This window comes from Homo sapiens, chromosome 12, assembly GCF_000001405.40.
Source record: "Homo sapiens chromosome 12, GRCh38.p14 Primary Assembly".
Taxonomy (NCBI): domain Eukaryota; kingdom Metazoa; phylum Chordata; class Mammalia; order Primates; family Hominidae; genus Homo; species Homo sapiens.
This window is the reverse complement of record NC_000012.12, coordinates 90,002,606-90,027,275: the sequence shown is the minus strand read 5'-3', so window position 1 is coordinate 90,027,275 and position 24,670 is coordinate 90,002,606. Positions and strand designations below refer to the sequence as shown.

At 37.5% G+C, this 24,670-nt stretch overlaps 1 long non-coding RNA gene across 1 annotated transcript in view; it reads right to left on the bottom strand.

Moving 5' to 3' along the window:
- The window catches only part of LOC105369890 (uncharacterized), a 192,148-nt gene that overhangs the window by 85,014 nt on the left and 82,464 nt on the right, over positions 1 to 24,670 (bottom strand). The window contains exon 8 of the long non-coding RNA XR_001749246.2: positions 5,720 to 5,756. This is a non-coding gene — a long non-coding RNA (uncharacterized LOC105369890). The remainder of the gene's footprint in view (positions 1 to 5,719; positions 5,757 to 24,670) is intronic.

Sequence of the window (24,670 nt, the reverse complement as noted above, 5' to 3'; positions counted from 1 at the left end):
TGTCTGTGTGTCTTCTCCCCCACTTATAAGTACACCAGTAATTAGATTAGAGCCCATCCTAACCCAGTATGACCTCATTTTAACTTAATAGATCTGCAAAGACTATTTCCAAATAAGGTGATAGTCACAGGTATCAGGGGTTAGGACTTTACTATATCTCTTTGGGGAACACAAGTCAACCCACAACAGACACACATGAAAGAAAAAAAAAATGACAGCAACCATATAAAATGCAACCAAAAAGAAAATTATTGTAAAAATATATGACAAAATTCTCTATACTTTTATAGGTGGGTAATAAATTTAACAATCAACATAAAAAGGGAAATCAGATCATGTACACAATTCAGAGTGTCTATGAATTTTAAAACATATCAAGTGCTACAGAAAAGTTTCTGATGCTAAGACCAGAGACTAATAAATCTCAAATTTAAGAATATGCATAATGACCAGGCGTGGTGGCTCACGCTTGCAATCCCAACACTTTTGGAAGGCCGAGGCAGGCAATCGCCTGAGGTCAGGAGTTCAAAACTAGCCTGGCCAACATGCCAAAACCCTGTGTCTACTAAAATTACAAAAATTAGGCAAGCGTGGTGGCACGTGCCTATAATCCCAGCTACTCATAAGGCTGAAGCACAAGAATCGCTTGAACCTAGGAGGTGGAGATTGCAGTGAGCCAAGATAGCGCCACTGTACTCAAGCCTGAGTGACAGAGTGAGACTCGGTCTCTCTCTCTCTCTCTCTCTCTCTCTCTCTCTTTATATATATATATATATATATATATATATATATATGACGGTTTCCTTATAGGCAAAAATTTGATTATACACAAAATAAAACATCATTTTCCTAGTTGCATATACATCCTTCATTTTAAAATATAGAATTATTAAACAATAATAAATAGGGAGAAAATATGCTTTATAAGTCACTGAAGTCCAAATGTCATATTTAAATATGGTCATACTTAAATATTAATATTGGTGATCATCAAGGAAGTCCAACTTTATTGGAAATTACGACGTCCATTGAGAGGCACTACAAATACACAGTTCAATGATTCCCCAGTCAAGGAGGCACTTCTATAATTTGGGGAAATTTTTAGGAGGGCACAAGAAAAGCACTGTAACATTCAGAATGTCAGTGTCTGAACTGATAACAATGCTATGAGAAGGGTCCCAGCTCTTTGTAAACACAGTTTCAGTTAAGATCACAGAGAAGATTTTTCCACAGATGGATAATTCCAAGGATATAGTCAAAATCAGTAGCAAAATAAGATTTGATTTCTAGGGATTCACTGCAGAGCTAAATGTGTTGGAATAATTTGGAAAGTAAATGATACTGCATTTTTAAAAGATATCATCATTATTTCAAATCTTCTTCTCATTTTTCCAAATGGTGGTATTTTATTTCAGGTGCTCATCTTTTGGCTTCCTTTCTTAAATCTGAAAACTAAGTTCCCCATTTCCATGCGCACCATTTCCTCAGCCCACTTTAAAGGAAAGTCAAACTGTTTTCTAGAACCTTACTTGTTAGGCTGGATTTTTTATAAAATTTTCTTAAAATATTTAAAAAGATTTGCTAGACAGAAAAAAAATAGCCCCTCAAATATATATTCCATTTCTAATCCTCAGAACCTGTGACTATCACTTTATATGAAAAAAGAGTGAGCATTACCTTATATAGCAGAAGACCTGATTAGGAATGTTGAACAGGAGCATTATCCTGTATTATCTGGGTTGGTCCTAAATGCAATCACATGGACTCTTATAAGAGAGAAGCAGGCCGGGAGCGGTGGCTCATGCCTGTAATCTCAGCACTTTGGGTGGCCGAGGCGGGTGGATCATGAGGTCAGGAGATCGAGGCCTTCCTGGCTAACACGGTGAAACCCCATCTCTACTAAAAATACAAAAAAATAGCCGGTCGTGGTGGCGGGCTCCTGTAGTCCCAGCTACTCGGGAGGCTGAGGCAAGAGAATGGCGTGAACCTGGGAGGCGAAGCTTGCAATGAGCCGAGATCACGCCACTGCACTCCAGCCTGGGTGACACAGCGAGACTCTGTCTCAAAAAAAAAAAAAAAGAGAAGCAGAGGGAGATTAGACACAGACACTCAGAGGAGAAGACTATGAAGACAGAGCAGGGAGCGGTGCAGCCACAAACAAAGAAATGCCAACCACCACCAGAGGAAGAAGTAGAGGATTCTCCCCCTCCCCACTCTGGAGGTAGACAACACCTCAATTTTAGACTTCTGGCCTCTCAAACTGTGAGAGAGTAAAATTATTCTTTAAACCACTAGATTTATGGTAATTTGTTACAGCAGCCACAGAAAACTAATACAATAGGTAAAAACACAAGAAACAAAGGAAACAAAAAGACGTAATTAAAAAAAAAGTCCCCCTCCAGAAAAAAATAAATATATCTTTTTCTATTGATAACTATCATTTACCAAGCACCTGCTGGATAGGTGCCAGAGAAGGATTTACATGCTTTATACACATAATCCTAATAATCCTAATGCTTACCAAAACCCAGCAATGTAAATGTGATTATCCCCATTTTGCAGATGAGAAAAATTGACTGGCCCAAGGCCACATACAGTAAGTAAACAGAATTCCTCAGATTCAACCCAGACGCATTCGACTCTAAACTTTCCACTGTTCCGGCAACACTCTGCTGCATCCCATACTTCTCTTTTTAGCCTCCCCTTTCTGTCCCTGTCAGCCCTCTCTCCATCCAATTGCAGAGCATACTTGCAACTGTTTATTTTGCTATTAACCAGCTGCAAATATTTCCTTCCAAATGCCCGGGAGCCAACCAATTGCATTCCTGGCATTTGTAGGAAACACAAATCATAAAAATAAACCATTAGGCAATATGCCTCAAATACCATGGCCTGTAATCTTTTTTTTGAATCTCTTGAATTCCTATATCCGGGCCCTATGCTATCTAGACAGGTTGCTTGCTCCTCTACACCACACCAACCCCGATTTACCCCAGATCAGACACATTTCCAGCAACTCCCTGGCTTCCAGGGCTACAACCTTGTTTGGATAAAAACCGAATTTGAGATTACCAACAAGATCTTATCCATCCTGCTAAGCTCCCTCTTTCTCCCAGTCTCATCTACTCCCCCGTATCCTTTCCACTGGTTCATCCATCCCTGATCCACTATAATTTAGGCCTCAATGTGTTTTCCCAGGGCAAGAAATCACTAATAAAATCTCATTCTCTCCGAGACTTACACATGTATATATATATATATATATATATATATACACAAACCATGGCTTTAGCAGGTATTTATTTCTTGAGGCACAAAAAGACAGCTGAACAAAAATAAAAACATAAATTTCTATATTGTTAGAATAACCTAGGACAAAAACCCCTCTTTCTCCTAATGGTGGGAAAGGAATACTGCTCCTCTCCATCCTCACCCAGCTGCCTTTCTCCTTTCTGCTAGAAGAGATCTAAATTCTCAGGGCTTATGTATCATCCTGGCTTAGGGGCAGGAGCTTCTGGTCTGAGAGTCCTCCTCTGGCCTGGCCTGTGTAGTTCAGCCTCCAGGTCTTAGGTTTTAGCCCAGGAGACAGATGGTAATAGGGCTTTGTCTCCAGACTCAAGCATCCATCAAGCTTTGCTCAAAAAGCTCAGTTGTCTTGCTGCTCTGCTCCCCTTCAGCCCTTGCTAAAACTGCTGATCCTCTGAGACCCTCTAGCCTGGATCTTGACCATTGAGGCCTCACCTCCCAATCACCCCACTAACCCCTGGCAGACAGACATCTCACAGTTTTCAATTATAGTTTAAATCCCCTCAGGCACAATGTTTCAGGTTTCCTAGATGCATCCAGGGAGGAAGGGGTTTGAGGGTGAGGCAGAGGAAGGGGTGACTCAGACCCTTCTGTGTGAAGTAGCACATCACCATCTCCATCTACTAAGGCAGCCCCACATGGATATAGAGTCTGGGAGGTGTCTCCTTCTGGAATTCCAAACAAGAAGCAGAGCAGCATGCCAGTCCCTCCTTTTTTTAGAACCCTTCACCCCTCTGGGGGACTTAATCTCCCGCTCCAGGCTTCAATTGCAGGGCGACAAGGAGGAGGACCCTCTCTAGCATCCACACTCAGGCTTTTCATTGAAAATCCTCCCAGAGCTCCTCCCTTAATTAAGCCTAGCAAGAATTCAAAAGTCCTCTTCATGAGGAAAGGAAAGCTGCCCCAAAGGCGTGGTGAATCCTCCATATTCTCTGGTTCAGGGTAGAAACTCAGCACCTCCACCTACTTGGCTTTGCTCTTGGTTTCTCATATGAAGTTTTTAAATTTCAATGAAACATTTTTTCTTCCAAGTGCCTCCTAAAAGTATATTGGCTTTTAGAGTATTCTGTGTCTGTGGTGGTGGACTTCAAAAAAGGAGACAAAACTTGAGGCCAAGTGAGAACTACTTTGTCCATGTGGTTGTATCTGCATTTATTCAAAAGCAGTAAATGTATTGCTCCAGTGCATGGAGGAACCAGGCATATAATTAGAAATTACTAGCAATGAAAGATGCAGCATTGAGTTTTTTACAGGCACTATTTTGCAACATTATGCAAACACCATAATCTAGGTTTATACTATGGTTTACAATTTTATATATTATTATTGTAATGGTGCGATTTAGCAATATCTTTGAAAAATAGTGCTTACTTTTGTTTAGTTTTGAAATCAAAACTGCACATTTATTTGCTCATTTTTATTTCAAAATTGAACAATTTAAAGTAGTTTACACATTTAAAATCTGATGTGATATGGCATATCAGGACTAGTAACACTGCTCACAAAAAGCATGTGTATTTTGCAGATTACTCTATTATTTTTACATTTTGTCACATTTTATTGTTGAAATGTTATAATAACAATACTTGAGAATGAAATTTTAGAGTTACTCTTGGCTCCATCATCCTATGAGGCTAAGAGGATATGCTATAAATTACTAAACTAATTCCATCTTATTGGATATTAACTTTTTTTTAATTATACATAGTTTTGGATAATGATGCAATAAATAACTTTGCATGCACATATTTTCTTTATTACGTTACTTACTTGAGATCAAATGCCAAGATTTCAATTACTAAGTCAAAGGGCAGAGTTGGCACTAATCAATGTCTTCACAAAGCACAAAGGTTACCTCAATGCCTTTCCTTGCTAAACTCAGTGCCCTTTAATGCTACCTATGAGTTTTTTATGAAGCTAAGATTACTGCAATAAAACAAGTTTTTATAAAAGTCTTTACTTCTTTCATGGTAAAGTGACCTTTTTATGTTTACACAATATATCATAAAACAACCTCAGAAGTTCAATAGATCTAAACTCAGTAACCTATAATGTTATCTGCAATAATTTTTTTCTGACTGTTTCAGGGTTCAGGTGAACTTATGGACACATAATACAAGTCAAAGTGCAATATGAGACATGTTTCGCATGTGGCTTCACATGCAGATAAGGCATTAGTATGAAAATAAGTACACCTTAAAGTAGGTAGCAAATTATAAAATGAGGTTGCTTTTATAATTTATTATATTGAGCTTGTAGCATTATGGTCAATATTAGACCTGAACAACCAAGGAAATCACTGATAGAGAGAGGGGGCGGGGGGGGCTTCAAATAGAAAGACTTCTTAGAAATTTTAAACCTTGCTCTTTATATCAAGGCTTTCGTAGAACTTTAAGAATGTTTTTAAGCTTACCTTCATTATGCAAAATGATTTTCATGTATATCTGAATCTATTGAAAAGAAGTAAAAACCAATGTCACAATGTCATTAACACTGTTATTTCAGAAATATATTTATTGGTTCCTAGTAGTCTATGAAGAACAAAGCAGATCAAACTAGCAAGTTACTAAATTGCTACAATTACTACAGATACTATCCATTTCAGTAGCTAAGAGGCATGTAGATATACTAAACAATATGAAGGAGGTATTTTATGCCCAGTGGAATGAATTCTAGGAAATTGAGCTCAAGAAAACCGAATTAATATCAGAGTTCTACTACCAAGCATGAGACCTTTCCTCTCCCTGCCCTCTAGTTTGGACGTCTACAACATAAGGGACAGGGCTGTGCAAGACCTTTCCAAGCCTTGTAATATTATCATTCCACAGCAAGGGCAGCAGCAGCAGCACTACTCCAGCATGAAGGGATTCAATGACAGTAACCAATGTAACACGTAATTGTCACGTAATTATAATGCAAACCTCTTCACAGTTAACCAAATGAGCAGTATACACAAACGTCCTTTTACCCCTCTCTTAAAGTATGATCAGTGGCAGGTGTAGCTAAATATTCACAGCATAAAAATCTGTATCATGTTTTTATACTTAGTGACCAGCGAATTATTGGATGGCATTACTACCTAGCCCAATCATTACTTTATGACCCTCCAGCAATATTTTTTTCTTTCTTTCTAAGTCTGCTTGCTAGGGAGAGGAATTTTTTTTTAACAAATCCCAGGAATGGAACTCTGAAGACAAAAATTAAATTAAATTAAAAGTTGATTGCAAAATCATAAAATCACATCATTTGCTTTCCTCACCCTTTTTGTTTCATTTCGGATTCTGCCTCCTTTGTGAAGCCTTTTCTGATGTTCCCAAGTCAGAAGTGAGATCTCTCCCCCTCCACCCCCACACCTCTCTTCTGTAATTCTACCTTCTTCAAGGACTTTATCATAACTTCAAAGCACATAGCTCTCTCTCTCTCTTTTTTGGTAACAGTGGGTAAATACTTGTCCTAATGTCTCCTACGAGATTTTAAGCTCTTTCTGAGGATAATTTTTTTCTTTTATTATCCACATATTGCTCACAATACATAGTATCTTAACAGTATTATGTTACTTGTTGACTTGAATCAATGATAATTTAATTAATTAGCTCCACATTATTTTACTTCCTATAACAGTATTTATATGATTGAGGCTGACATCAAGCCACCCTGATAGGTCTAAGTGGTGTGATTATGCAGGAGCCTACAATAAAACCATAGTTTTTTTTTCTTCTTTTATTCTCATGGAACATCTGGACAACATGAGCTGTGGTTTTGAAGTCATGGGAACCATGAAAACACTTGTGCCGATTCACAAAGATGATCCCATGATGGACCTCTCAAAAAGAGTTTATATTCCTAGTACTCCTTACAGATTGTCCCCTTGCAGAAGCACAGGAATAGCAGGTTCTATATAGCTCTACCAGGTTGGAGAAGTGCATATGCCCTAATCTGCTGCTCTCACAACAACAGTTTTGTCTACCCTGAATTTTAGGGTCTACTCTTTTTAGGCCTCTCTGCCCTGTGATATCTGGATGAGCAGGGACCTTGGAGGCACTATTCTCATGAAGAATAGCCCCCAAAAGACCTCAAGGACTACAGGTAGCTTAAAGATAAAATCAGGGCCACTAGTTTCTAATCATAACACCTCTTATAGGAATGTATTATCCTTACATAAGTCAGCACAAGTCAAAGTCATAAAGCATTTTAAGTCATTAAAATTATACTTTGCCTTTAGCTATAGTGTTAGACAAGACTGGATTAAGATATTTTGCTTAAATAACTCTAATAAAGTCATTGATTTAAAATATCCAATTTTTGTTTTGCAGATAAAAGCATATAAGTAGCCAATAAGAACAAAATAACATTTACTATCAAATATAAAATATCATGTTCAAAAATGCTTTCAAAACTCTATGGCTTTACATAAATAATAACTCACCCTGCAGAATTTTGTATGTGTTTTGCACTTAAAGAGTTAATCTATGGTTTTATAAAATCTCTTTTAATCCACTTCAGTTATATTTTAAGTATCACTTTCAACAAGTCAAATAAAAACAAACTCTGACAAACTTGTCTGCCACACTTTACCCAAAAATTAAGCCAGTAAAAGTTTTCAGATTGTTTGAAAACTATTAAACCTACTGTGCATACTTCCCGAGTTGTGAGTTGAGAAAATGCTAGGAAAGTTAGTGCCATATGGTCCATGTACTAATGGAGTTAAAATACAGATAAAACCAAAGTCCTTTGCCATGTATTTGTTGCCAAGTAGCTTGATGAATCTATGTTCTATTGTTCAACTTGATCACATTAGGGGCCATGCTTCTTACTTCTTTTGAATCTTAAAAGCAAAACGAAGTTATCTATAAAGGTTAGATAATGTTGGTTAAATGAAAGAACATAATATAGCTCAGAAAATAGAAAGAAAATCTAATTAAGACTAAGCCACAAAATACTTATAAATATTGAGAAATGTCTCTGATACCTATCTATACCTATATAAATTCTCTTAACCTTCAAAATTCAGCTCAAGCTTACATCTTCTACACATCCCTCCTGACTTCCTCTCTCCAAATTCCTACAACACATAAACTCTCGAAACTATACAACTTAGAAAAATTAGACAAGTGTGATATTAATTGTTCTTCCTTGCTCTGTCTTGTCCTGTCTCCACCTCCAACAGAGATTGTAACTCTCTTGAAGGGAAGCAGTGATTCTTCTGTGTGTCCTCCAAAGTGACTAGTAGTGTACTTAGCACAGAGTGGGTATTCAATTGAATTCAATGAATTACAAAGATGATGTATAACTTAAGATTCCTAAGGAGAGCTCTCATTTTGGTAAAATGCACTCCCTATTATCTCAGTTATTGATATTTTTCAATATTGAAAAAGCATATGCTCAAGGGATACCTATATATTTGCAGTAGATACTAGTAGAATACTCACGTGACTTTAATGACTACCTAAGGTCTATGCCACCTAAGATGCATCATGACACAAACATAAGGGGTGGGAGAGAGATATAATTATAATCTTCAGGTGTTTAGATGCATTTTCTTGTGTGCAGCTGCTATTATCTCTACTTATCATTGATGTGTCATTTTATATTCTGGCAGCAATGATTATTCCTAATTATATATGGGAAAATAAATTGTAATATGTATTTAATACAAACACTCTGTCATTTGGGTAGTTATGTCAAACGGTTAATCATGTTTAAAACTAACAGGAGGACAGATTAGGGGGCAAAAATATGTTATGAAAAGACAACCCTCTTTTTCCATAGTCTTGATTTAAAATTTAACCTAAAGGTTAGAAAAATGGTTTCAAGACGCATATTAGTATTTTTACCAAAGAACAGTTTCTCCTTGGAACATAAAGAATTCTTTTGAATCAGAATATCTCTGCAAACAACAGTCTCTTCCTTGTGAGACTCGTCTCTCATGTTCAACCCCTTACTTCTGCCCCATGGTAGGACAAGGCAAAAGAATCCATCATTTCAGCTACAACTCAGCCGTTTTCTAACTGACAAGATGTTAGGGAGCAGTTCAAAAAAGAAGCTTAGTTTAGTATTTTGTCCCAAATTTCTCTTATAAGTATGATTATTCTGGTTTCTCCCATGCATAACTCTGTCTTGCAAATAAAAACTATTCCATCAGACAAGTCCAATGTAATTAAATAGATTTTAAAAACAAACAAACCTGGATTCTGCAATCAACCTGATAGAATTATTTACCTTGGGCGATGGGACATGTGGCTATTTACAAAATAGGCTTAGATAATATTGTTTCTTAGCTAAATGCCATAACTGTTAATAAATTTAGAAAAAAAAATCAAAGGGAACACAAAAGCAACAATCATATCTATGAGCCCTCAAAATATTTCTAGACTTGTACAAATCTACTTGTGGTCACATGGCAGCTATTTATTTACAAAAGCATATTTCTTTTGTAAGAAAATATTACGGTTTCCTCCAATTATTGCAACATTTCTTTATGAAATAAGATTTCCAGCTGGTAAAATTCAGGGAAGAATTGCCATTCTTAAGAATTTCTCAGTGATTGCAGAGGTCATTCACACCTCTCCAATACTTACAACATCGTGAAAGTCAAGTATTTAACATTATGAGACTCTGTATTGGAAAACAATGGAAATCCATAGCCACCCCATCTAACTGGAAGCTACTATATATATGTTAACCTATACCTGCCACAGATTGGTGCCTCTCCACACCCATCTTGGAGAACACCAAAGAAATATTTAAGGGTGAGTAAATTTTCTAGGATTTCAGGCGAGTGAATGTGCAGACAGGCTAATCTGGGAAGAACAAGTGAAGGAAACCCTGGTGTAGGCTAGGAGAAAGCAGCCAGGATGGGGGGAGAATGACCACAAGTTGTGCTGGAAAGAGGGAAATGATAACAACTGTCTCCAGAGTCTGTTCACAAGGCAGCATTTCTCCAAGGTGTAGAAGACATTTTGCATCCCAAGAACAACTGAGAAGAAAATAGAGGATGATGTTCTAGCGATATGAATTCAAGATCCTGAGGCTTTAGGGTCCTGTTAGTCCCCATGACAACTCACCTATTATTAATAAGCCACAAGTGGAGGAACAGGTACTACATTCTTCATCTTCTATAAGTTAACACAGCTATTCATCTTCAGTGAGAAGGCGGTCATAAGAAAACCTGGTTTTATGAGCAAGAAGAGTCTAGAAATAAACACTCCCAATTTGCCGTTAGCCATTATGAATAAGGCAGCAAAATTAATTTATTTTAATGCTATACCCAAGAGGCACATGTTTTTCTTTCTATGTGATTACAAAAATGCCGAATGTCCCCCGAGGACAGAAGTCCTTTTTTAGACTTTAAGAACAGACAACCCAATTTTCTCTGAGTTTGTTTTTTCCCCTTTGAGAATGCACTTAATTTGTTAATGCAGGAGTGCATTTGTCACCAATAAAATTCATCTTCACTGTACAAACAGATGCCTGAAATTAGTCCTTATAGAGGGAAAGCTAGGGGGAGTGTACTTGGTTGCATGTTATGAAAACATAATTCAATTATTTAATTTGTAATAAGATTTTCTATATCCAACAATTGCATGAACAACACTAAAAAGATCCTGAAAGATCATGATTTTATTCATTTCTACCAAGCATTGGCTTTTATAATTATAGATCAAAAAAGCAAATTCTGTTTTTTAATAGGGGCTTCACTGCTGTTAAGTGAGGCCAAAAGCTGTCAGAGTATATTGCTTTCAACATTGTTATTTATCAAAAAGAGTAAAATTGTGACTATTTGCAAGACACTACGTTAAATGTTTTAAAAGAAAGAAAAAAAATGGATGGAACATGACTGCTGCCCTCAAGTTATGCACAACCTAATAGGGACACCCACGTTGACATAAATAACTGCCTACAAGATAGTGTAGGGAAGTGTCATGAGTGAGTTTGGTCAGAATGTTTTTGGCTGCAAATAACAGAAACTCAAATTAAACTAGCTTAATGATAAAGAAATTTAGTAAAATGCAAAAGAGGAATTACAGAGTTGGGGCAGCTGCAGGGACTCAATCATGTCCTCAGGGACCCATTCCTCCCATCTCTCCAAGCTGCCCATCAGAGCATTGTTTCCTCCTATGGCTGGTTACCTGGTCCTGAAATGGCTGCCAGCAGCAATCAGAGCAACATGCTTCCCTGTTCACATTCAGCAGGAGAGAAAGGCTGAGTTCTTTTTCCCAAGTCCCCTTTCTTGTATGGCACAGGCCCACACTGAGCTCATGCCTGACAAGGTGGGTGAGATTAACCTTGATTGATTTAGACGGATCCAAGGGGTGGGATGGAGGTTGGAGAGCCAGACACAACGTCCACCAAAATGTGGGAAAGAAAACCCTGAAGCAGATCCTGTAATTGCCCAAACTGGGTAGCTTCTTTGGGAGTTGGTGAGTGATCCTGAGGTTCAGAACTGCCAGCAATGGTAGACAATAGGCAACACCTAGTATGGGAAAAATGTTTTTAGAGCCTCTGAGAGATGATTCATTGTGCCTTCATGACATTTCTAAATTTGGATAAGAGGAATACCTCAGTATTCTCCCTTCCTCCTAAAGTCAGATAATCATTCTAAAGTGGTTGCCAAGCATTTTTCCAGCTGATATTTCTAGCTCCTTCCAAAACAGTCTGTCACTAAACTCACCCACTCTACATAGGAGGAGGAGAAGGAGGAGAAGTTGCAGTGATATTACTTTATATAGAGACAAGAATTCTTCAGTTTTGTCAGCTTTTGAAGGGTAATAAAGTGCTTTCAATCTTCTTATGCCTCTTGTTTGTGGGCACCCTGCCCCATTCTGAGTCCACACCTGGTTCTTCACACTTAATTGCAAGACTACTTTTCTCTTTTAAAAATGTTTAATGTTTACAATATGCCTTGTCCTGTTATAAGCTCATTACAGCTGTTATAAGCTCATTGCATGGAAATGTTCATTTAATTTTTATAACAATTCCCAAAATAAGAATTATTACTATCCCTACTTTACAGGTTAGAAAAACTGCACCACAGAGAGATTGAATACCCCAAGTTCACACAGCAGTCAGTGGCAAAGCTGGGATTTGAACCCGACTAATAAATTTCCAAGTCTGAATTCTTATCCAAAATACCACAGTTGCATCTGCAGCCAGTGGATGAGGAGTACAGCAGGACACAAGAAATCTAAAAATGGTCATGCAAGGGAGTTCGAACATTGTCCTAAGAACAGTAGGTATAACCTGAAAGGTAATCAGAAAACTTAGGTAATCAATATTCAAATGAGTCAACAAAGAAGAAGAGGATCTTGTTTCTGAGAAAAGTTGAAGGAGAAAAGGAACTAACATTTATTAAGCATCCACTGTACAGAGTACAGGTACTCGATGCTTTGGGCATGTGATGTCATATAGTAAGAACTTTCTAGGGCTTGGCTTTCCCTGTTATACAGCTCAGAGAAGCTAAAGTTTCCTGCTTATGGTCTCAGGGCAGACCTGGTATTTGAACCTATACCTGATTCCAAAACCCATATATATATATATTTTTTTTCCACTGTCTACTATAAAGATTCCAGAGCTTCTCCAAGTCAAAGGCCAAAAAGGAGAAACAATAGCTACTTACAGATCTTCATTTATCCTGTGAAATAATATTTCCTTTAATATTAATAACTGTGCGTGACAGAACTAAATATCACTCTAAGAAATTTCTCTTCTCTCAGATCTTTTAACTAAAGACACCAGGGAATAACAACCCAAATATATGAACAAAAGCTATTAAGAAGGAATACACACACACACACAGACAACATCTGATATCCAGCCAGGATACACAGGAGAGAGTATAAAGTTTCCTGGAGCTTCATTAAGTTGCTCAGTGCATCACTTTTTTTCCATATTCATAAAGTACACCAATCCTAAAGGATATGATGTCCATTTCTGCTTCTGACAGGGTGACCTTGCAGACTGAGGCCTCCAGCAGGGGAGCAAGCTTCAGGAGAAGAATCCTCATTATTTGGTAAGGCTAAGACTTTGTGTGTTAGGTTCATATGAATAACTTATGGCTGTACAGCCTCATGAACAGAGGCCTGGACACGGCTGACATCACAGCATCATACACCGAATCCTGGTCCACCCTCCCGGGAGAAAATGGAATATTTGCTCATTTCACATTTCACCAAGACAGACTCTTCAACTATTTATAAGTTGAACAGAAATTTCCACCACTTCAGCTGACACAACTGGCTCTACCTAGTAACTGATAAAAGAGATCCAACCAGAGCCTTTAGGAAGCTAGCTTTGGCAAAAGCCAGTAGCAGCAGGGAAAGAGACAAGGTCTGCACCAAGGGACATCCTCCTCCAGTAGGTGCTGCTCTCTTCCTCCTCATTCACTCTTCACCACCACCACCACAACTAAGACCCTACATTTACAGCTTGTCTAGAATAGGTTTTGCTAATAACTTGGCAAACATACCTGTAGATAGATGCCTGTCTCTTATTAATACTTACTAAGGACTCACTGAAATTGACATTGATTAATATCACAGTGTCCTTATTCTGAAATAAAGGCTATCCCTCTAATTCAGTCCTATTCAATTCAAAACAGATGCATTGAGGACCGTCCATGTACTGGTTCTGGCAATTTAAAGATTAATAAAGTTAAGTCCTTGCACTCCAGATGCTTAAAACTTGGAGAAGAGTAGACACATAAAGAGAAAATATTGACTAGGATAATTGCTCTGCCACAGGAAAGCTCAGGGGCCACTAGCAAGCAGAGGAGGGCACTTAACTCAGGCTGGAGGATTATTTTATTGATAACACATGGAGACCCAATGCTGCATACATTTCCCATTTTACTTAATTCTCACAACAATTCTCCCCATGAGGCTACTCCTTATTAGCCTAATTTTTTAGGTAAGGAGACCCGGTTCAGAGAGATTAAATGATTTGCTCAATCTGACACAGCAAGTGGCAGATATAAGAGTCAAACAGTCCAGTCTAACCACAAAGCCAGTCACTTGCTTACAACAGTGTATTGCCTCTCAATGGCAATTTGCAAAGTTTAATGTTCATGGTTATATTTATTTATTATTCAAAAAATATTTGCTGATTGTCTACTATGTTCATGGGATACAAGGCAAGGGTAACAACTGTACTGGTCCTGAACTTCTTGTGCTTGCCTTTCAAGATCATCAAAAACAAAGAGTTTGAAGGAGATACATCAGTCAGTTATTCTGGAAATATTCATAAATATTATAGTGCAGTGTTATGGACCAGAACATGCTTGATTCTGAGACTATGAATTGGTTTAAAAAAGAAAGTCTGTGTCCTCATGGAATTTGTAGTCTAGAAAAATATGCAAATAAATACACATTGCATTGAAGGTGGTAAGGGCTTTAAAGAAAAATAAAATAAAGTATTAGAAATCATGGATGAGGGATTGAGGGTAGAACTTGGCATTTTGAATTGAAAGCTCCTCTGAGAATCCAAGGAAAAACCTGAATAAGGAGAAGAAATCATTATTTATTATTAGGGGATAATCTATGTGAAGAATATGCATAGCCAGGCAGAAGCAACAGCAAGTGCAACAGCTCCAAGGCAGGAACTCATTTAGAGTTTACCAAGAATGGTAAGAGGCCAGATTACAGTCAGAGAGGTTGAAAGCAATACAAGACGGGTGGAAAATCAAAGGCTAAATCATCCAGGACCTTGTTGGCTATGTAAGGGGTTCCATTTTCTTGTCAAGGCAAAGGGAAACCACTGGAGAACTTTGAATAGGGGGAGCGACATGTTCTGATTAACTTTTTAACTTCACTCTGGTTGCCATATGGAGAACCGATTATGGGGGCACATGAGTAGAAGACCAATTAGAAGTCTATTATACAAGCCTAAATTTAAGATGATGGTGGGTTAAACTAAAGAGGAAATGCAGAGGTTGTCAGATTGGGGATCTATTTTTCATAGTAGTGCTGACAGACTAGATTAGATGTGGGCTGTGAGGAAAAGACAGAGGAGCAAATGCACTTGAATTCCTGGAACAGTGCCTATACAGAGTTTATACTCAACATGTGGAAATTCCATCCCTTTCTCTTGAAACTCAACATGGTTTACTTGGGGAAAATAAGTCACACACATAACTAGGCACAGGGTCTATGAGAGTGGCCCTAACATAAGTCAAACTTCAGGGCTACAACACAGCCATGAGAAAGTAGATGAGAATCTACCTCAATTGCTTCAATCAAACTAGTAAGTATCCTCTATTTGCTCTCAAATAAATGAAGTGGAAGAATTCCTAAAAGAATTCTGGTTATACCAAGTGTGAAGGAACTCCTATTCTTGGTGGAAGTGCCTGTTGCTTATTATAGGTAGAAGTTTTACAATAGATAAAATTGTAAAACTTATATTGCTTTCTAAGATAAGTCTTCACAGAATTCCCTGAGGCTAGGACAGATCTTCTTATTAGAGCCTTTTAACACTCCTGTATCTTTCCATCATGGCTCTTTTCAGTTTGAAATTTGATATGCAGTTATGTAATATTTGATTAATATCTGTTCCTCCCTCACCTGCCATCCCATTCTTCCTAACCTTGAAACAGTTTGCCTAGAAAAAAAGCATATAGGCATTCAAAACTTTTTGTTGGAAAACTGAAAAATGTGTTTAAAATATATTTTATTCACAAAGAGAGCAAATAACCTATGAAGAAAAAATGGAATGACATTTCATAAAGGATAGGCATTTAATTCCATTTTTAAAATTCTATTTATAATCACTAGTTATCTTCACAGCAATACATAGGATTCACTTCAAAAGAACCAAAACTGGCATGGGGAAATTACTTCTAAAGAGCCATCTTGAACTTTAGGCCATAATAAAAGTTTGTTTTCTGACCTGACATAGTGGCTTACACTTGTAATCCTAGCACTTTGGGAGGCCGAGGCAGGTGGATCACCTGAGGTCAGGAATTTGAGAACAGCCTGGCCAACATGGTGAAACCCCATCTCTACTAAAAATACAAAAGATTAGCCAGGCATGGTGGCACACACCTGTAATTCCAGCTTGGGAGGCTGAGGCAAGAGAATCACTTGGACCCAGGAGGCAGAGGTTGCAGTTAGCTGGGATGGCATCACTGCACGCCAGCCTGGGCGACAGAGCAAGACTCTGTCTCAACAACAACAACAAAAAAAACAAAAAACAAACAAACAAAAAAGTATGAGATGCATTTAGAATTCATTGGGTATAATCTGGCCTATATAGCCAGATGACATGTGCCTCACCTGGATTACAGTAGTCACCTCCTAACTGTTGTCCTTGCTTCAACCTTACCCTCTTGCTGACTATTGTCAACAGAGCGGCCAGGCTGATACTTTTGGACTAGAAGCTACTTCGCTGCATCTCTCCCCAACTCATTCAGAATAAATGTCAACATCCTTACAGTGGTCTCCAATGCCTTTATCATTTAGGGCCCTGGAAAAAAATAGGTGACACAATTAAACTGGTCATCAAGGAAAGTTTAAGCCTTAGTCCATTCAGGCTGCTGTAACAAATTACCATAGACAGGATATCCTATAAACAATATAAACTCATTTCTTACAGTTCTGGAGACTAGGGGGCCAGGAAATCCAAGATCAAGGAGCTAGCAGATTCTGTGTCTGGTGAGGACTCACCCACTACTTCATAGATGTTGCCTTCTCGCGGCACCCTCACATGGTGAAGGGGAAAACTAGCTTTCTGAGACATCTTTTATAAGGGCAAACTAATCCAATTCATGACAGCTTCACCCTCATGACCTAATCAGCTCCCGAAGTCTCCACCTCTTAATATTTTTGTGTTGGGGATTATGTTTCAACCTATGCACTTTAGGGGGACAAAAACATTCAAACCCTAACAGAGAACGTTTACAAAGGTGAGGATGAGCATTTAAAAAATCATATATACATGGTGTGCTACTCTGAGGCTAGCAACAGTGTGAAGCTTTTATCAATGGCAAAGAGAAATGAATGGATCTGGGGAAGCAAATGAAAAACGTTCAGCATAAAGCCCTATGTGATCTGCCCTCGCCTCTTCTGTGTTCCTTCCGCTGCCGTCGCCCTAGCACCTTGATATATCTTGACACACTCCAGGCACTGTACAACTTGGGAATCTTTACATTTGCTGTTCCCTCTGCTTAGAACACTTTTTCTCTAAATATCCACATAGCACACTAACTTACTTACTTCAAGCTCAAATATCACCTTCTCAATGCAACCTACTTGAAAAGCCTATTTAAAATCATAAAACTTCTCCTCTAACATCCCAATCCCCTTAACCCTCTTCTTTCTACCTTTTCCCCATTTCATTTATCACACACTGTTACACGTATATATAATTTTATACTATATTATTTAATTTTTATTACACCTATTGTCAATTGTCAGCATCCCCTTCTCCCTCAATAAAATATAAGATCCAAAGAAGTGATGTTTGTTTTTTTTTAATTGATACAGTCTAAGTGCCTAGAATTAGGGCAGAATGCATAAACAAATAGAGGAAAATAATCATCTTATGTGCAGTGTCCAAATGTTCTCACATGGAATCTTGTTTATAAACACCAGTAGAAACAGATATATTAAAACCTAACAGTGCTGCTTCCTACCCCATTTTCAAAAGGTCGATTAAGTCCAACCAAATGTTGAATGAATTTCTATCCCACCAAAAGCAGTTTATTGTAAAACCGTACCTGAATGGAAGCTCTTCTTTTACATTTCATTAAACTACCTCCAAATGACAGAGAGCCAAAGACTATGTTCCCTTGAATCTGAGCTCTTTCCTCATAGATGTAATGAGCGTCTGAAACATTTGCTATACTCTATGAAACCTCTAAGAATCCTCAGGAAGGAATACAACAAAGTTCCTATCAGGAGGTGCTTAATTGTGCTGAAGGACAAATAAAATCACATAGTGTGTATTGCATATCTTGGTAATGTCTCAAAGAAAGTCATGGACTTGTACAGTTGGAAGAACTTGAAGAGCTCTCACTTTACAGGCAAGGAAACTGAAGTCTCAAGAAGTCCAGGGTTTTGGTCATAGTCACACTACACAGCAAGCAAGTGGCCTGCATGAAACGTAGAAACCAGGTCCCCACCTGGGTCCAGCCTGGACCAGGACTCTCCGGCCATATGGGGAAGTAAAATTTTAAAAACTGAGAGACCAAAGACCTTTGAAATGATTCTATTTATGCATGTTTTCAATCTATGTTTAACTAGAATGGAAAGACTTGGAACTAAAATAAAATGTTTATCCACATAAATATATGAGAAAGGTATATTACACCAAACATACATGATGAAACAATGATTGTTCTAAAAATTCCTTTATATGGACAAATATGTGTCTAATAGATTTATGAGGGTAATAAAACTGGGTACTGCAGAACTACAGTGAGGAAAAGTACTTTCCAATCAGGCTTCCCACGAATTTAAACAAGGATAGAAGTAGATAATGATCTCATCTTCCCCATCAGATCTTCCCCCACAAAGCGGGGAACTCTGGAGCTTATGCAGATGTACAAATCCTCTAGAGTTCTAAAATGAAGGCATATTTTTATAGTGTCATCGGTAGCCATAAAAGCTTTGCCAACAGTATTTATGTGCATCATGATAACATGTTTAAATGTTAGTTCAGCCTCCAATAGGAAAGTATAAGTATGTAGTGTTTAAAAGCAGAGAATTGGTCTTTTCTAAATATCTAATTTCTTTTCAAGGCAAAGGAAAAGCCTCTCTAAAATTTAGAGACAGTGTCACAATATTATATTTGAAGTCACCCAAAGTGACAAAGGGAAGACCTACCTAAGGAACCGTGGACCTCACAATAGGAAGGAACTTCCTTTAAACTCCCCATTAAAGGAATATTTTTAAAGTCTGTTAGGTATATCCTTGAAAAAGAAAGTCTCTTCAGATGTCTAGTTTTTGTACCCTTCGCTATTATGCCATTCAGCTCCTTTTATCAAATTCACAGGGGTCATGGCTTCTGAGAGGTGATGTTGTTAGATAAAGGGCCACTTCTGTAGCTCTTTGCCTTCATATGTTTCCACCTCAGGCAGTTCTTTTACAAGCCCACTCCTTGGATAAAAATCTATAGAATCAACCCAGAAAATACAAGGTGGCTTGAAACTGGAGGTTTTCTTCCTTTCTTTCTTCTAACATAAACCAGTGAATTACATGTGTGCGAACCTCAAGAACTATGACTGTGCTCATCAAAGTTAGACAATTTCATCTTAGTAAGCTGCTAGGTAGGCAAGGAAGTCACGAGAAGAATAGGTGTCTTTGGCATGAGTGCATAGAATTCAGGCAAGTCCAAATTTCACTTGATTTGGTGTGAATAGGAGGAGAAAGTATAAGATCAAATATTGGTCCAGAGAAATTGGAATATTTTTCTGCATTTAGAAAATTATCCCATAGGCTCATTCTAAACATGGTAAAAGAAGACATAGATCTCAATATTTGATTGTACATTGACCCTTATAAAATAAATGTGTTCATTTTGCAGATACTTTTCAGGTACATTTTTCTGTCACTTTGATTTGTATCGTTATGATGCCTAAGTTTTTAGAGTATGTGCCATCAAAGACTTCAATTCACAATGCTTTAAGCTGTTAGGAAAAACTTTGAGCCATTCTTCCAAAAAAGGTTTTATTAGACACATGCAATATTTTGGTAAACATTTATAGAAAGAAGCACCACAGAAAATAAGGAGCAGTACTACTGAACCAAAGGAAAGAGAAATGTTGTTAATTCATGGAAACAGTAAATGCAGTCCACTAGCGAAACTATGACAATTAAAATATATGTCCCATGCAGACAAAAACGATGTCTGTATTATTTATCATTGTGTTTCTAATGCCTAGCATAATGTTTAGCGCATTATAGTGGCTCAATAAATAATGCTTTAAAAGGAAGTGAATAGTACAATGGATGAATGAACAGTCTTTGCAATCCAAACGTAATATCCCCAGAAAATCGAAGACCAATTCATCAGAAGGCATTTCTAGCTAGATGAGAATTTCTTTAGGAGCAACACTTTCCCTTTGCTCTTAATATGCTTTCACCAAGCAGCCACATAGGCCATGATTAGTTTTCCTGAATTGTTACACTCAGGATAATAATTTGTAACTGATTATAAATTAAGAAGTTGGCTTTCTGAAAGATTAGTCATATAATCTGTGTGGGCTGAAGGAACTAGCTTTCCTAGAGTTTCTTCAGAAAAACCTGACCATATAGGTTCTTACACCCAAGGATACTCCCATTTTCAGACAGCAACATATGATGCCTGGGGTAAACAGCCAGACCACTCACTGTACAACACCATGTAAAAAGTATATTTTGCGCCTTGTAGATAATACTTTCAGCAGGAAAAGTATGTCTTCCATGAGTTCCATGCCCTGATACATTTAGGGAACTTTGGGCACTTCTTATTTCTTTAAATTTTCACAGTATAAGGACTCAATAAATGTATGTATTTGATCATCAGTAAGATACGGTGAAATATGACTTTTATTTCATCACTACAGTTTCTCCTCATAGTTAACATTGTCCAAGGGAAGAATAAAAGGAAGAGTGTATTTTATTCACAAATTATTGTTAAACCCTACTCTAATTCCACATATGCATGCATGCAAGAATTTGTTCCTTCTTTCAACTAGTATATATGATGTGTTTGTGGGCACTTGGTTAGTTTCTGCTCTGTTATTAAGCATATTGATGTGAAGAAGATGTTGGTTAATGACAGTTTACTTAATAAATTCTAGGTAACTGTATTAGGTTGCTAGGGCCGCCACAATAAAAATACCACAGGCTTGGTGGCTTAAACAACAGAAATGTATTTTCTCACAGTTCTTTAGACTAGAAGTCTAATATCAAGGTGCTAACAGGGTTGGTTTCCTCTGTTCTTGGCTTGCAGATAGATGCCTTCTTGCTGCCTCTCCATATGGCCCTTTGGTGTACATGGATCTCTTCTGCATATCCAAATTTTCTTTTCTTGTAAGGACACCAGTCTGATTGACTTAGGGCCTACCCTGGTGGTCTCATTTTAATTTATTTACCTCTTTAAAGGCTTTATCTCTAAACACAGTCACATTCTGAGGTACTGGGTTTTAGGGCTCCACTATATGAATTTGTGGGGGGCATATTTCAGTCCACAACACTAATTTAATGCTACATTAGCCCAAGACAATGTAAAGTATTTATTGGAGATTCAGGCTTGAAGAAGTGACAGAGGTAAAAAGTACAGTCATATCTGTATGAGTTAGGTAGAAGAGAGAATAGAAAATCATTAAGGTAGACAGTAGGATGAATGATTGGTGTTGGAGGAAAGTGACCAATAAAGGCAAAGCCATCTCAACTTTAAAAATATCATGGTGATCCCTGGAGGAACACTGGATCACCAAATGTGGGTAGGTTTTCATCTTGGTCTTGTAGAAGCTAGAATATTTCCCAAGTAGAGGTGCACTTACCACAAAGCAAATGAAGTTCAGCTTCCACGCCCCTCAAGGCTCATTCCAGGGCAGTTGATCTAATCTTAACAGTTTTGTGTTATTTTCCTTTAAGAGGGCTTTGGCTCCACAAAACCTGAATCTGTTCCTGATTGTAAGTATTTTCAACCATTTTCAGAAAGAGAGGTTTGGGACATTTCTTGGGCTGAATGCTTAAAACTGGGTATTTACTTGAAACAAATACTAGCTCACATATTATATAAAATACCATGCTTGAGAAACAGTTTTTTGTTGAAAGAGCAGTTACTACAATCTGCATTCCTGTGAATGTGCATCTTCAACCAATTTTCAAACCACAGGTGCTCAGAAATATCTAGGTTATTCATATACTCATCTCTGTGTAATGTTCTCTCTCACACACACACGTATAATACACACATTTATTTTTATGTTTGCATTCAGATCTGGGCTGCTAATCTGTATAATTATTTTAAAAGTGAATTGTGTATGTTTAATAACTGTAATAGAAAAATATTCCTTAGCATGTTTCTAGTTTCTTTTCATGTGAAACCATCTTTCTCTCACTTCTTCTCCTACAAGTTAGGATTAACTCTTCTCTCTGAGTTTCCTAGGTATGCACATATATAAGCCCAGCCAGTGTGATTTTTTTAAATTTTGACATTAGCCACAAAATGATTCTTTTACTTTATCTGAAACAAACAAGCAAACAAACAAAACCCATGTAAACATCTTAAATGATGCAAAATGCTATTGCAGAGTGAAATTTTCCAAAGGCATACTCATGGTAACAATCAGTTTCATGCTTTTTCCCTTTAGATTGTCTGCATTTTATTTTTAAGTTTTACACATAGCTCTTCCTGAGAACAGCCTTGCAGTTGAAAAGATAAAGGTGGCTCTTCGTTGGAAGCAAAAGAAGGAAGTGAGATGAGATTGGTGAAGCAAGACAGTTCAATTTGCCTAACAAAGCAAAATTCCCGAATTGAGTTACTCTTAACGCACTGTAATCAGCCATGTTTCTTAAATGCCTGGGTTATATCGAGCCCCACTCACACTATGGTAATTATCAGCTGCCACCACACAGAAGTGCTGCATTCCCCGCAACTTTTTTTTTCTTTTTCAAAATGTCAGCTTGTAATCTGAAGGAAAATTACAAACCCTACTTTTTTAAGGAATGTTTAAAATAAACTTACAAAAGTACCAAGCCTTTTATAATTACTGTCCTGCCTAAAGGGAGAAATATCCCAGGTGGTATTTTATCTCTGCAGCATCTATTTCTAAAGGTTAGCCTCAGTGGAAGGAGCAAGAGTGCTTTATATAGCAGACCAATGACAGTGTTTGGAAGAAGCTGAAACTTCTTTGAAAGGCTTTGTGACTTTATTCTGGATAAACATAAGCTACCCTAAGGATTATCACCACTAGTGCTGCTTTAATAAAATATTATTGTGTAGAAAAAATACTTGATCATCTTTTGCATGATTCTGATGTAATGCATAGAGATTTACTCTCTCGTATTTAATAGGAACATAAAGCCCATATCAAGTGGAATGTTTCATGTTAATGGCAATATTTCCAATTAAATTGCCCATATGAATCATTTTGACATGCCATCATTCTTTATTTTAACAACTGCTTTTACACTGTACACCTTAGAGCCCTTGTATCTTTCAGCTTGTAAAATAAAAATGAAATATCAGTCAAAAACATAATGGGCAGAACTCTACTGAGAAAACTTTTTAGCATAACAAAATCCACATGAGTTCAAGGCACCCAAGGTTTACAAGAAGATTCTGCCCAGAATTCTAAGAAGCCTTTTAAATGATGAAAGCAAATCACTGAGAAATCCATAGACTCTCTTTTCTTCACACTTTTTAATGTAGGCCTAGGATAGACTGAAGGCTTAGACACAAAAGCTTCAGTTGTGATTGTGGCTCAGCAGCGAACAATCTAGGTGATGCTGAGCAAATTTCTAGCCTCAGTTTCCAGAAATAAAGTTCCTTTAGTTCTCTTCCAACTCCAACTTTCTGCAACAAGTCCCATAAAAGGTGAAGGAAAACTAGGTCCAACTTCAACTTTCTGCAAAAAATCCCATAAGAGGTGAAGAAAAACTAGGTCACCTCATGAATTCAATGCAATTCAGAACACAATTTCTAGCAGTAGCTTCCTCTTATTCCTTATAAAAGATACACCACTGCTATGTTTGTCCTCTGTTTATATATTCCAAAAGGAGAAAGAAAGTGCAAGGCAGAGCTGGGTTTAGAGCCCATCTGCAATCCCTCATAGCTGTGTGACCTTGGATAATATAAATCTACAATTCCAGTTTCTTCACTTATAAAAACAGGATAATATTTTCTACTTTGTAAGGCTGTGATCATAATTACAGATGATATTTTTAATCTAACTTTCATGATGCCTGCAACCTAGTAATCACTTGGTACTAGTAGTAATTATATGTATATGTATACACATATAACTGCACACATGCATTCATTCATATATAATACACATTCTACCAGCCTTGGAGAATATTGCCTCCAGCTCCAACCATAGATAGAAAAATTCTCAAGTCATTAAACCAAATTTGGAAATGTACATCACTGTGGGCCCATTTATAGTGATATGATCAGACTGCCAACCTAGAATAACAATGCAATGTTATAAATTCTTTGTTATCCTTTTCAGTACCACTAGCAGGATCACAGAATGAGTGTTTTCTGTCTGGTCAGGGTTTACCATATCTAGCAGGTAGAATGGACTGCAACTAGAGGGCCTAGTCTGCCATTCCACAGTCAGTCTGAATAACAGATATGCAGGTATGTTATCTTTCTAGAACAAATCAGAACAGCACAAAGTCTAATACAGTTTTTGATGCATCTGCTCCAATTTCAC